This window comes from Homo sapiens, chromosome 10 (assembly GCF_000001405.40).
Source record: "Homo sapiens chromosome 10, GRCh38.p14 Primary Assembly".
In the NCBI taxonomy this organism is placed as follows: domain Eukaryota; kingdom Metazoa; phylum Chordata; class Mammalia; order Primates; family Hominidae; genus Homo; species Homo sapiens.
The window spans coordinates 95,622,168-95,636,922 of NC_000010.11; the positions used below are offsets into that span (position 1 = coordinate 95,622,168).

The 14,755-nt window shown below is 40.8% G+C and overlaps 1 protein-coding gene across 10 annotated transcripts in view; it reads right to left on the bottom strand.

Moving 5' to 3' along the window:
- The window catches only part of ALDH18A1 (aldehyde dehydrogenase 18 family member A1), a 50,771-nt gene that overhangs the window by 16,227 nt on the left and 19,789 nt on the right, over positions 1-14,755 (bottom strand). For 7 of the 10 annotated variants that reach the window (NM_001323419.2, NM_001323412.2, NM_001323417.2 and 4 more), the window contains 6 exons: positions 11,324-11,482; positions 10,792-10,882; positions 6,201-6,325; positions 5,275-5,419; positions 4,536-4,609; positions 3,195-3,288 (listed from right to left, as the gene is read on the bottom strand). In NM_001323419.2, the coding sequence (NP_001310348.1) occupies positions 3,195-3,288; positions 4,536-4,609; positions 5,275-5,419; positions 6,201-6,325; positions 10,792-10,882; positions 11,324-11,404 (610 nt within the window). In that variant the 5' untranslated portion in view covers positions 11,405-11,482. The remainder of the gene's footprint in view (positions 1-3,194; positions 3,289-4,535; positions 4,610-5,274; positions 5,420-6,200; positions 6,326-10,791; positions 10,883-11,323; positions 11,483-14,755) is intronic. The other 3 variants (NM_001017423.2, NM_001323418.2, NM_001323415.2) reach the window with 1 other exon arrangement.

A 14,755-nucleotide genomic window follows, 5' to 3' on the forward strand; every position in this document is an offset into this window, starting at 1 on the left:
GGAGAACAGAATTTTAAAAAAGAAAACTTTTTTCCTTTTTTTCTTTTAGAGACAGGGTCTCAGTGTGCCGCCCAGGCTAGACTGCAGTGGTGCAATCATAGCTCACTGAAGCCTTGAACTCCGGGGCTCAAGTGATCCTCCTGCTTCAGTCTCCAGAGTAGCTAGGACTACAGGCACGTATCACCATGGCTGGCTAATTTTAAAACATATTTTGTAGAGATAGGGGGTCTCACTATGTTGCCCAGGCTGGTCTCGAACTCCTGGGCTAAAGTGATTCCTCTGTCTCCACTTCCCAAAGTGCTGGGATTACTGGTATGAGCGACCATGCTTGGCTGAAAAAAAAATAGGATTATGGCAAGCTCATACGCAGAATTTTCTATATTTTTTTGAGACGGAGTCTCGCTCTGTCGCCCAGGCTGGAGTGCAGTGGCGCAATCTCGGCTCACTGCAAGCTCCACCTCCAGGGTTCAAGCCATTCTCCTGCCTCAGCCTTCTGAGTAGCTGGGACTACAGGCGCCCGCCACCACACCCGGCTAATTTTTTGTATTTTTAGTAGAGACGGGGTTTCACTGTGTTAGCCAGGATGGTCTCCATCTCCTGACCTTGTGATCTGCCCACCTCGGCCTCCCAAAGTGCTGGGATTACAGGCATGAGACACCGCACCCGGCCCAGAATTTTTTTAAAAAACAGTAGTATGCATGATGTGATTCCCTCTCTCCACACACAAACATGTACGTACATCTTCATATATATACATGTATATACTCAGGAAGACCATTTGAAATCATATATCACAAATCATTACTGTGGTCAATGTTGAGATTACAAAAATTTTCCCTTTCCTTTTTTTACAGTCATAGCCACCAAGATAAAATAATAAAAAGATTTCTGCCTTGGGGGGAAGCAACTGACCTTATATTAAGAAAAAAAAATTAAACCATCTTTCTACCAACCAATTATACAAATTAATTAATTTTCTTTACTTTTCCCCATATGCTAAAAAAAAAGTTTTAATTATAGTATATGTTAAATGTTACATCCTAGCTTTTCACCTCACAATGCGAGTATATTTTCCATGTTGCAAAAATTATCTTAATTACTACTAAATATTCCATTAATTTGATACAGCTGAACGCACTTAACCACACCTATGTTATTAAATGCTCAGCTTGTTTCCAGTTTTTCAGTGTGATAAATCTTGCTCTAAGAATCCTTAGATAAAGAGCTATTTTCTTTTCTTTCTTTTTCTTTTTTTTTTGAGATGAAGTCTTGCTCTGCCGCTCAGGCTGGAGTGCAGTAGCGCAATCTCGGCTCACTGCAACCTCTGCCTCCTAGGTTCAAGCGATTCTCCTGCCTCAGCTGCCTGAGTAACTGGGATTACAAATGTGAGCTACCACGGCCGGCTTTTTTTTTTTGAGATGGAGTTTTGCTCTTGTTGTCCAGACTGGAGTGCAGTGGTGCCACCTCGGCTCATGGCAACCTCTGCCTCCCGAGTTCAAGCGATTCTCCTGCCTCAGCCTCCTGAGTAGCTAGGATTACAGGCATGCGCCACCAAGCCCGGCTAATTTTGTATTTTTAGTAGAGATGAGGTTTCTCCATGTTGGTCAGGCTGGTCTTGAGCTCCCAACCTCAGGTGATCCGCCCACCTAGGCCTCCGAAAGTGCTGGGATTACAGGCGTGAGCCACTGCGCCTAGCTGTAATTTTTGTATTTTTATAGAGACAAGGTTTCACCATGTTGGCCAGGCTGGTCTCGAACTCATGACCTCAGCTGATCCGCCCACCTTGGCCTCTCAAAGTGCTGGGATTACAGGCATGAGCCACTGCGCCCAGCAGTAATTTTTGTATTTTTATTAGAGACAAGGTTTCACCATGTTGGTCAGGCTGGTCTTGAACTCAGACCTCAGGTGATCTGCCCAGCTTGGCCTCTCAAAGTGCTGGGATTACGGGCGTGAGCCACTGTGCCTGGCCTAAAGACCTATTTTCTTTAGAAATAGTTTTTGAGGATAAATTCCCCGAACTGGGATTGCTAAGCCACGCTCATGTATACCCACGGCTTTGTTCTTAACCCACTATGTGTCCTTATGCATGTTCAGAGAGGTATAGCTGGGATCAGGAGTCTTCTGCCAACAACAAGCTGTGGAACCTTGGGCAACAACAGGTTTACCCTCTGTGGGTCTTAATTCTTTTACTTTAAATTAATGAGTGGATAGTATCAAAGATTTCTTCCAGTTCTGAAAATCTATTTTACGTTTTGTAATACTATAAAAATGAGATGTAAATTCTAGAGGAAGTTCTAAAACAATGGTTCAAAAATGTTTTAAGGAATGAAAGTAACGTTGAACCGTGCAAAATTTCTTTGAAAGAAACACCATTAATATGGATGTTCAAGATAATGCAAAGGAAATTCAAAACCCCATAAAATCAATCCCTATTATTTTAAGGGGGAAAAGACAGAATTAAGAAAAAGAGGAGAAAGAGTCAGGGCCCTGACTCTCTACATGTCTAGGTGTTCACAATGTGAATTCAACATCTTACTTTACCATTAGCACCTCTAGGGTATTTCTGGATGGCACCTGGTGCTAACTCAGGGAAGACAAAAGACTGGTTAATTAACTAAGAAACAAGCTATCTTTCTTCACAGGCTGCACAAACTATTTCTACAACTCTTTCACATGTACAGTCCATCTGTGTTTAAATCCTGGTCCATCACTGACCATGTGGATTTGGGCAAGTGACAACTTCTCTGAGCTTCAGTTTCCTTCTCTGTCAAATGGGGATAATAAGTAGTAGCTATCTCAGAGGCACTATGTTATGAAGATTAAATGACATCCTGACTGCATAGCCATTAGCACAGTGCCTGTCAATAGAGAAAGGCCTCAATAAATGTTAGCTATTAGCTGAATGTCTTAAGCAGTGGGGTTCTCAATCTTGTTCTTTTTTGTCCTGACCGCCATAGTAGCCACAGCTTGTGACCTGTGGGGAATGAAAAAAGCTCCTCTGGGGGTTGTACTAAAGTATTTGGGGAAGGAGAATACCAGCCACCCACCTACCCTCAATAGAAATGATACATAATGTACAATTTCTTTTATAAAAATCCTTATCTTTAGGCAGACATAAGAATTATTAGTAAAACTAAAAACCAAAATAATGCACACCCCTCCACAACATTGACTTTAAATTGCCTGGTCTTTACCCTCTGCCTCCTCCAAGTCTTTTTTGTTGGCTAACAGGATCTCATCACGCTGGTCCGTCAACAGATCAGCCAGATGATGGATAATTTCTGCTCTCTAGAAGAAAGGTACACCATTAAAAAAACAGAGATGTTAATCCAAGAAGAATGCACACCACAGTTTTTAAACCTACTCTTCTGAGAGTGCCAGGCCTTGCTCCCACATCCACGGTCATCACCAGTTGAAATCTCCTGACTTCCCATCACTTATTCCCACCACTGCTCCCCTTATTTCTTCCTTCCTCTCTCACTGCCAACCTCTAGGTCACTTCTTACTTTTCCTCCTTTTTTTTTCTTATGACTCCTGATTATTATAATTAGCAAACCATGGCTAATAGTAATAATCAGGAGTCATAAGAAAAAAAAAAGGGGGGGAAGGGGCATGATGGATACAATCTGTAGGAGACTGTATAATCTGTAGGAGATTATGTAACTGTACAGGGGCCAGTACTTTGAATTAACATGTTACATAGAGTCTTACATATTTAATATCATTAGTTAGTTTATGTCCAGGTAAGTTTTTACATCTGGTTCTTCCTTGTAAATTATTTATTTAATGCATTTAATCAAAGTGAAAAAATTCAGTCCTAGGTACTTGAAGACACCCCAAACCTGACCCTGCTAGATGAGGAAATGTGGCAAATCAGTATGCTGATTATTGGAGGAGCAGAGGGAAGTGGTTTGAAAGGGAAGCTAGGCTCCTCCTTTGCTTTCCTTTCTCTGCCATTGGAGTTACTTTTTCTTTTCTCAGGCCAAAGGATTCACTAGTATAAACCCACACACATCTTCACTCTCAAATCCGTCCTTGACAACATAACCCCTGGGGGACTAGCTCCCAGCTTCTACTTGACCTCCTCACCACTTCCAGCCTCATCATGTCTGCTACTTAGACTAATTCAAGCCAGACAGGTCAGGGCTACCAACTATGGAGCAGGCTCTCGAGCTTCCCATCTTCTAGGCAAGTCAGGGGATTTGGAATGGGGTGGGATAAGTAATTTTCCCACATTTCCATGCCCAGTATGTGGCAGAATTAGGTAACCTTTCTAATCTCATCATTTTTATGATGCTCTTGATCAAAACATCATAGTGATGAAAAGTTATCTTGGACCTCTGTCTATAAAAGATAAAACGGAAAATAAAATTAAGAAAAAGAAAAAAGGCAGAGCAAATTTGAATCAGACTTGTAACTCAGATAACTCTGTGGCTCACTAGGAATAAAGATGGAGTCAGCAGGTTTGACTCCTGTAACTACACAGCATGACTCACTCTGAAAACTATAACAATATTATCACCTAAGGTTATTACCTGCTCAGGTTCCAAGGTGGCCAACATCCTTCCTCCAGATCGCGCCATTTCTCCCTGCTGCTCAACAGTAGGGCCTGCAAGAATATGTGCAAATATCAGGTCATGGTCACCTTAGTTCTCTCTCTAGTTCTACTACTAGAGAGAGAACTACCAGCACATGCACAAGCTCATCACGCCCACAGAAGGAACACATGATGTCTTGGTATGCTTGTTTCACACAGGGGATCACCATGACCAATAAAATAGCAAAAGAATGTGCCAGATTCACTCAGGTATAAACATAAGAACTTGCCTGTATTTCTGGGGCAGACAATATACTTTGTTTTCTAGAATTCTTCTGAATTCCACTTTGGCGATATTTTTTAATGTGTTTACACTTCTGAATGCAGATTATGAGGCAATTCTGTCCTTTGTGAACACTCGAGAGCACATACTGTATCATATGCATCTTTGCATCTCTAGTGCTTATTTAGCACTTGGCATCTAACATAGGCCTAGCAAATGTTTCTTGAGAAAATCAATGCTTATATATTTTAACCGAGTGATTTTGCAGAGAATAGGTCTAGATAGGCAGGTTAGATAGAATTTCACAAAAGCAAAGCAAAATCCGATTTTGCAAATAGCGTTCAAAACAATGCCATATTTCATAATATTAGCATATCAATTTTGTGATCTCTAACTAAGCCAGGTGTCACTAGTTCCCATCACAGGCCTTGGGACCTTATGAAGAACTATTTACCTGCAGGCTTTACTTCTGAAAAGAAGGTACCAACTTTCTTCCCCTCCACAATGTCTGTGATGACGTGCCCAGACACCTTTGGGTGGGTTCCATTGGCAATAACAACAGAAGTGCCACCTTGCAAAGCCCAGAGGGCTGCTTTCACCTAATGAGACAGGTTAGATCCAGTAAAGATGAGATTCAGACCTATTCACCCACATTTTAAACTTGCAAAAAGATATAAAATACAAGTTGATATTGAACAACTTAAGTATATGAGAGAATGTTTTTAAAAGCTTAGAAGCTCTGAAAACACATAACAGTTCACACACTTTCCAGCTCAACCTTGGCCTGTGTTACTTAAAGGTAAACCAACCTATCCTTTGTTTCCAGTCTGTTCTCTCTTCAGTCTCTCTAGTATGGGACTCATAACTTCTACATTTGATTTACTGTGCCTCAACTTAGAAACAATTAAGTAGACCAACAGGCTGGAGTTTGACCAGAGTCTGATCTTGAGTACTTCTGGCTTTTCTAAGTGGGGGTCTTGTCCTCATCTGTGCTGTTGATACATGTGATGCTGTACCTTACGGGTATAACTTCTAAGAACAATTAATGGGACACAATTTTTGAAAGATTTCATCAAGAAATATTTGAACTGATAAATGAGAGATTTATGAATTATGAAAAATATATAGGCCCTGCCCTTGCAGAGTTTACAACATGAACACACTGTTCATACAATATTAATGAGAAAACCCACATACACAGACATAACCAAATGTTGGAATGCAACACTCATTAAATCTGTATTTAGGTATGTACATATTTAAGTGTGTATGTGCCTACTATCTGAACCATTAACCCCCAAATAATTACAAAAGTAAAAAGGATACAATATAGTTTGGGCTTTAAAATTGTTATAGGCAGTTAAGGCACCAGATTCTTACCTTGGCTTCCATGCCACCCATTCCCACTCTAGACTTGGTTCCAAATGTCACAGACTGCTGATCTCCGGGATAAAATATATCAATAAGCTTTGCATCATCTGAACCTGGGGGGCTGTCAAAAAGGCCTAAAAAATAGACAAGAGTCAGTAATACTGCTTTGATGGAAGTGTCTCCAAGACAGGCCTCCCCAGGGCACCTGCCAATCACTCTGTACTTTACTCATCCAAATGAATTCCACTGCACTACCACCTGCTTTAACCAGAAAAAGAGAACAAGGGATTCGACACTGACAAACATCTCCAGGAAGACTCACCTTACATTATTTCTATAACCTGGCTTAATAAATAAATGTTTCCCAACATCAGATCATGGCCATATCCTCAGCACAACATTTATTAGCCCTGCCCATATTCCTGGCAAGGTGTCCTTAATTCTGCCATTGCTACTTATGATGCTGTGCTTTAAGGACAGAACTGAAAAAGAAGGGTGGCTATTGCAGAAACAGCATAGCAGCCATATACTGTTTAATGTGACTGTTTCCAAGCAGGATGAAATGCAACAGAGGTACTCATTAACTCTCACAGTACCCTTTGAAACAGTCACTAATTTACACTCCCAGTTTTATGAGTGAGTCACTGTAGAGGTTAGGCTCAGTCAGCAGGAGAGTGCGTGACTCTTGGCATTCAGTCTGGATTTATTACCATAAAGTGTATGTCCCTTTTATAACTAAGTGGAGTGACATAAAATAGTTACCTGAAATGTTACATGCATACAATCCAAGATGAAAAACCCTCACAATTTCACTTTGAAAAAGAGTAAGTAGGAGCTTGGACAAGAAAAAGTGGGGGTAAGAAAGGGCTGAGAAACTAGAGTTAAATCAAGACCTAAAGTGGACACAGATGGGGAGGCTGGGGACTGGCTGAAGGACATTTTGGGCAGTGATTTTTCTGGTCTCAAGTTACTGCTTTTCCTGTGCTATAATATACCTCTCCCCTCTATTATTCCAAATCTTTAAGACAATCTTGCTACATACTACCTCTCTGCAGGAGTAAGTGAATCAGGGAAGTGAGGAAATCAATGCCCATTGTAGAGCAAAGCAGTGGCAACTATAAGCAGTGCAAATTATTACAGGAAAAGAAAAAATAACCTTTCACAATCTGTCAGTCTCAACCTACTACTCCACAACTCTCCAGGATTTAGGGTTAGGATCTTCCCAGAAGATACAGTGCTATGAGATCACAGATTTAGATTTGGAAGCTGTTTCAGTTTCATATATTAGTACAGGAAAGATTGGACAATTCTAGCCAAACCTTCTCCAAAGACAGTGAGGGGTTCCTAGCATTCTGATAATGTGCCTACTCCTCTTTTCCCCTTACCCCACCAAGAGCATAGTTAAAATTCAGATACTGTTCTAAAAAATCAACACTCAGTAGAAAATGAATTAGGATAATCACAATAAGAATGCCAGTCTACCAATGACCCGATTTTGGTGCTTGAAGCTGCATCAAAACGATTTGCTAGAGTCTTGTTCAAACTGGGTTTTATAAATTAATCTCAAAACCTTACATTTTTTTTTTTACCTTGTCAAGCAGTATAAGAGAGAAGGAAGAGTGTAGCTTTTTTAATTGAACAGACTCAGATTTGAAACTGGCCTCTGTCAAGCACTTGCTATGTGACTTCAGATACACCATTTAATAGATCTGAATTTAATTTTAAATTAAACTAAAAAAAATATTTCTTCTTCTTTCCCCCCCCTCTCCCAACAGGGTCTCTGTTTCTGTCACTCAGGCTGCAGTGCGGTGGCATGATCACAGTTGACTGCAGCGTCAACTTCCTGGGCTCAAGTGATCTTACTGCCTCAGCCCTCCCAAGTAGCTGGGATTACAGGCATGTGCCACCGTGCCCAGCTTGAACCTAATTTTTAATTTCTTCATCTGTAAAACTGGGTTAGCCTACCCACTACCTACTTTGTAGGGTTGCTATAAAGATTGAATAAATTACATTTATCAAGCACCTAGCACACTATGTGCTCATGCTAGAAATTCAATAAAAACCTGCTGATTGGCCAGGCGCCGTGGCTCATGCCTGTAATCCCAGTGCTTTGGGAGGCCAAGGCAGGAGGATCACGAGGTGAGGAGTTCAAGACCAGCCTGGCCAACATGGTGAAACCCCTTCTCTACTAAAAATACAAAAATTAGCCAGGCGTGATAGCGCACACCTGTAATCCCAGCTACTAGGGAGGGTGAGACAGGAGAATCGCTTGAACCCAGGAGGCGGAGGTTGCAGTGAGCTGAGATCATGCCACTGCACTCCAGCCTGGGTGACAGAGCAAGACTCCATCTCAGGGGGGTGGGGAGAATGAATAAATAGAAAACCTGTTGATGAACCAAAATGCCTTTTTTCTCCAGGGTGGCTCACACTTACCCCAACTTACCTGTTCCTATCCTGGGACTTCAAATTACAGTGGATAACACAGGACTAAGACTTCTTACAGGTAAAGATATTGACATGTAGGTGTCGTATCTCTGACTTTCCACATGGGCAGAGACAGATCAATTCATCTATGTCTGCCCCTGCCTCCACTAGGTAGTCCCTGCCCTTACCTCACAACTGCTTGAGCGTAAAACAGAGAACAGGTCCTGCCATGTTAACCTGCCTTGATGTGGGCTGGGAATTAAGTAGAGGTTTTCTAACCTTCTGGGAGTGTTAACAGGGGACTTTTGGAATCCTAGATTTTGGACACAGCTACTATATTTCTTATGGGTCAGACTGTGAAATGGAAATAGCTTAAGAAAGCTTGAGAGGAGTGAATGGAAAGACATATTAGAGCCAAGAGTGGCCCCTCCAGGAAGAAGGGAACAGCAGAGAAGAACAGAGTAACATATAAGAATATGGTACCCAGATAGCCTAGACTTCTACAGTGGCTCCAACTTAAAACAATCTGTCCCAACAAAGGAAAAACAAAAACAAAAAAAATCCACAATCTGTCCCATGGTTTACATTAAAAACTGAAAGTAATCAAAACCACAGTAAGATATTACTTCACACCCATTAGGATGGCTATAATAAAAAAGGCAGATAAAAACAACTGAATAGGCCGGGCGCGGTGGCTCACACCTGTAATCCCAGCACTTTGGGAGGCTGAGGCAGGTGGATCACAAGGTCAGGAGTTCAAAACCAGCCTGGCCCAAATGGTGAAACCCCATCTCTACTAAATATACAAAAATTAGCCAGGTGTGGTGGCAGGTGCCTATAATCCCAGTTACTCGGGAGGCTGAGGCAGGAGAATCGCTTGAACCTGGGAAGTGGAGGTTGCGGTGAGCCGATATTGTGCCACTACACTCCTGCCTGGGTGACAGGATAAGGCTCTGCCTCAAAAAAAAAAAAAAAAAAAAAAACAACTGAATAACAGCAATGATGTAAACACATTAGAACCTTCATACAATGCTGGTGAGAATGTGAAATGGTACAAGGGGCCTTACTTTGGAAAACAGTCTAGTAGCTCCTCAAAAGTCTTTTAAACAGAGTTACCATATGACCCTGCAATTCCACTCTTAGATGAAATAAAAACATGTTCACACAAAAACGTGTCATGAATGTTCACAGCTAATGTCCATCAATAGATGAACTGATAAATAAAACATGGTACATCCACAGAGTGGAATATTATTCAGCAATAAAAACAAATGAAGTATTGATACATGCTGTAAAATGGATGAACCTTGAAAACATGCTAAGTGAAAAAAGCCGGTCACAAAGGGCCACCATAGTATATGATGCCATTTAAATAAAATTTCCAGAACAGGTTAATCCATAGAAACAGAAAATATACTGGAGACTGCCTAGGGATGGGGAGTTTGGGTAGAAGTGGGGAGTGACTGCTAATGGTTATGGAATTTCTTATTTGGGTGATGAAAGGGAAAGTGTTCTACAAATGACTGTGGTTTTGGTTGCACAATTATGTGAATATACTAAAAATCACTGAATTGTAAACTTTTATTTATTTATTTATTTTTGAGATAGGGTCTCGCTCTGTCACCCAGGCTGGAGTGCAGTGGCACGATAACAGCTCACTGCAGCCTGGAACTCCCAGCTCCAAGTGAACCTTCTGCTTCAGCCCCGAGTAGCTGGAACCGCAGGCGCATACCACCATGTCCAGCTGACTTTTCTATTTTTTGTAGAAACAGGGACTCACTATATTACCCAGGTTGATCTTGAATTCCTGGGCTCAAGTGATCCTCCCGCTTTGGCCTCCCAAAGTGTTGGGATTATAGGTGTGAGCCACCACGCCAGGACAGAATTGTAAACTTCAAATAAGTGAATTGTATGGTATGTGAATTACATCTCCATAAAGCTGTTATTTAAGGAAAACAACTGAAAGCACCTGGAAGTAACATTTCAGGATTCAAATGACATCTCTTAGACTCACCCACCCTGTTTTGAGTCATAAAAGCCCTTTGTCAGAACATATGGCTAATGATCTATAGCAAAAAAACATCAGAGGGACTCAAAGAAAGAGGGAAACTCATGTGCTCACATATGTAGCATTTAAAACAAAGGGCAGATAAAGGAAAAAAGCATTACTTTGTACCTTCTACATCTGAAAGAACAATCAAGAGATCAGTTTTCATTTCCACAGCCAGTCGGGCAGCCAGGCTATCATTATCTTTAACACTAATAACCTAGAATGCAGATTAAAAAGTCATAAGTGAGTGAGCTAAGCAGTCCAAAAAGAAATTCATGGAAGAACACAGCCAAGCTCAGGCAAAACCAAGCTAGGATCAGGCAAAACCAATGAACCCAAATATGTAGATGACGGCTCTTGCAGGCCCCTTCTGTCTGCAGAACACACTGTCTACTGGCAATCCTTTTTCCAAACATGCAGTCTTCTAGCCACTGAAATATACAAGCCATGCTCATCGCACCATCTTCAGTGACTATAGCACCTCACCCTGTTGAATGCAACCACGAGTTCAGAAGAGCTTATGCAGTCACTGCTCCATGACAAGTTTCTCTCACAACTTTTCCATCTTGTTTATGCCAAACTTCTGGTGTTAGTGCATGCAGCATAGCATGGTGTTAGTGTCTCCAGCATGCTAAACCCTTAGAAATACTTTACCCACATTTACCCCCTGCAGGTCACTGTTGGGCTCAGCTGGGGGGACAACAGCATCATTTGTGTTGACAATGGGGACAATGTTCATTCTAAGGAGTTCATGAAGTGTTCCATTGAGGTTCCGGCGCTTCTGCTCATCATGGAAATCCAAATTGGTCACCAAAATCTAAAAGGATTAAATAGATGGAAAATGCATGAGGGAGAAAAACGCTAAACTTCCCAGTATACAAAAGACGCTAAGAGCAGGGGAGTTAAACTTTAGGTTTCTGGGGCCCCACACAGATTAGAAGATTAGAATGAAATACACATATCTGGGTGCTATCCAATTCTTTTTTTTTTTTTTTTTTTTTTGAGACAGGGTCTCATTCTGTCGCTCAGGCCGTAATGCAGTGGCATAATGTCTGCTCACTGCAACCTCCACCTCCTGGGTTCAAGCAGTTCTCATGCCTCAGCTTTCCAAGTAGCTAGGATTACAGGCACACGCAGCTAATTTTTGTATTTTTAGTAGAGACAGGGTTTCGCCATGTTGGCCAGGCTGGTCTCAAACTCCTGGCCTCAAGTGATGGGATTACAGGTGTGATCCACTGCACCTGGCCCCAATTTTTGTAGAGATAAAAAAAATTACAATAATCTGAAAGATTTATTTAAGAATGTTCAAGACTTCTTGCAAAAGTACTTTAATCCTCAAAGAGCTACCAAATTCCAAAATCTCATCCATTTACAAAATTAAGAAAATTAATGTATCTATTTTAGAGGGATACTGGGGGAATCAGTGATTATCCATTAATTTCTTTTCTTTTTTTATAGAGAGGGTCTTACTCTGTTGTCCACGCTGGACTTGAACTCCTACTCTCAAGTGATCCTCCCACCTCAGCCTCCTGAGTAACTGGGACTAAAGATGCACACCGCTGTGCCCCAGCAATTTCTAAAATATCTCTGTATTCTAGGATCTGATTCAGGGCCTGGCCATAGTAGGCCCTTAAATATTTGGTGAGTGAGTGAAAGTGTATTAGACAAAATGGAATAGGGCTGTGTTGTCACTGCTCTTGCTCTAAAGCAGACTATTACTGGAGTTAACTAAGATTGTGTGTGAGCATGTGGGGTTAGTCTGAGAAATTTATGGAAGTTAGTCTTTGGTCACAAGCTGAAAGGGGGGCAGAACACAACTTGGTTCAAGGGAGGAGATGAGCATAAGGTGCTCAAAGGTAGAATGGAGAGCTGGTGTGTGGGCTGGTAAACAGCTCTGCTTTCTAGCTTAAATCAGAATTTTATGCAATGTTTAGGAGAAAAAGATAAATGGGTGAATGGAGATAGCAAGAAACTAAATGGCAACAAACCTTGAGGCTCAACAATAAATAATGCAATCTCTCTAATGTTTACGGAAGAGCGTTCTTGCTGTGTAGGGCAGGATGAGGTAGGGAAAGCTGGAAGCAAATAGTAAAGAAAGCAGGCACTGAAACAGTCAAAGTGAGGATGGTTAAGGGTCTGGCTATGGTAACTGAGAAGAATATAGCAATAAAACAGTAGCCTTAATGGTATATAAAACACAGGAAACATACATATAGAAAAATAATTCACTCACTCGATAAAAAATTTGTTGAGTACCTCTGAAATGCCAGAGTCTAGCTGCTGGAATGGAGAATAAGAATGTTGATGTCTTGGGGAAAAATAAAATGGAGCATATTTTTGAAAGGGAAGATCATGAACTCCTTTTCAGAAAAGCTTAGTGCTGTTGGACACAGGACTAGGTCCAAACTGAACATATAGATTCTAGTCACGATGGTGAAAGATCAAACAATTAATATAAACCCGTGTGTAGGAGAGACAAGCAGGAGATCTAAAGGTCCAGGAAAAATACCTGTCACCAAAATAGCTTCACAAACATGGCCTGGGGATCTCAGCATGAAGGTAGGAGATAAAGAGTCCCAAGAGGGAAAAGTACGTGTTTAGACAAGCGCAATCTGTTGAGGGAAAATCAGTTTCCCTTCTATGAAGAAAAAACAAGCTGTTTTAAGTGTTTAAGTCTTTAACCTGGCAAACCACCTACTGGAAATTTTCAAAAGCCACTGACAATGGTCTTCTATATAGGATTACTGAAGAAAATAAGGAACCACAGGAAAAGGTACAAAGGGCAAATATTTTCTGTAGATATGATGGCCTTGGGGGAAGACACAGGTGTGAGAGGAAAGAGCCCAGGGGTTGAAGCTTGTTGGGAACTGGAGGGGGCAGGGCTCTTCTTTCACTCAATGTAAATGGAAACAATGGCTGATGCTGCATGGACTCTTAATGCTACCATCATTCAAAACAAAATAAAACAAAAACAAACTCTCAAAAGGTTTCATCCCTGGGAAAAACCAAACCAAAGCAAAACCATAGCTCCCTGACTTGAGCTTCCTCACCTGGCTCCAGGCACTTTAAAAAAATTAAAGACCAAAGTTGTCATTGGACTGTGAAGAGAAACCAAATAATAAAGAAGAGTGATATAAATAGAGATTTATACTGTATTTATACTAACAGAAAAAAAGCTAAGACTACAGAAAGTGGGGTCCCCAGCCATAGGCAATGGGACAAGTCCGTGCCTTTCTGTTTTACCTCACTGACTTGAGGACACTCTGGTGTAATACCAGAACATCACTGTGGGTACAAACAGGCAAATGATGGAGAAACAAAAAAAAGTAACAGGAAATGAAGAAGCAAAACCTGAAACAATATATGTATATATAACAATATCACCTGTGTAAAATAACATCTGTGCATGTAGTGTACATGTAAAATAATATCCATAATATAAAATAACAGCTATTTTACATCTTTACAGGTAAAGGAATTTCAAAATAAAATAATTTGGGAGTTAGATTTTTTTTTCAGTTGTTTCCTGAAGTGACTGTTATTGAGATGTCTCTAGTGTGTAGTTGTACAGTTGATTAAGAATATAATTCAAAAAAATTCAGGAGATTTAGGTAAAAATGAAACAATGTAGAAAGAAGGTTCTAGAACATTTAGGGGTAGCCACCAAAAATTCGTAAGTCCCATGAGGACTGGAATCATGTCTGATTTGTTCACCACAGTATCCCCAATGCCCAAGACTGCTAGGTACACCATAGGTGCTCAATAAATATTTGCTGAATGAGTGAAAAACCAACCAATCACCAGCATTCCTCTTTCCCTTCAAAGCTTAATAAATATCTGCTATAAAAGGCAACCAACCAGGTGCAAAGAGAAGCAAGCCACCTGAAATCAAAGAAGCCAGTGAAATAAAGACATTTAACTTCTCTGTCTTCAGAAGTGTTAGCACTTGGAATCCTAAGTTATTAGTGTAACAAGAACTGATATTTACTGACAATGTATTATGTACCAAACACTATACTAAATGCTTTTCATATATTTTCTCACTGAGCCCTTCCAAAAATTATCTGAAATAGGCACTGATATTATCCCC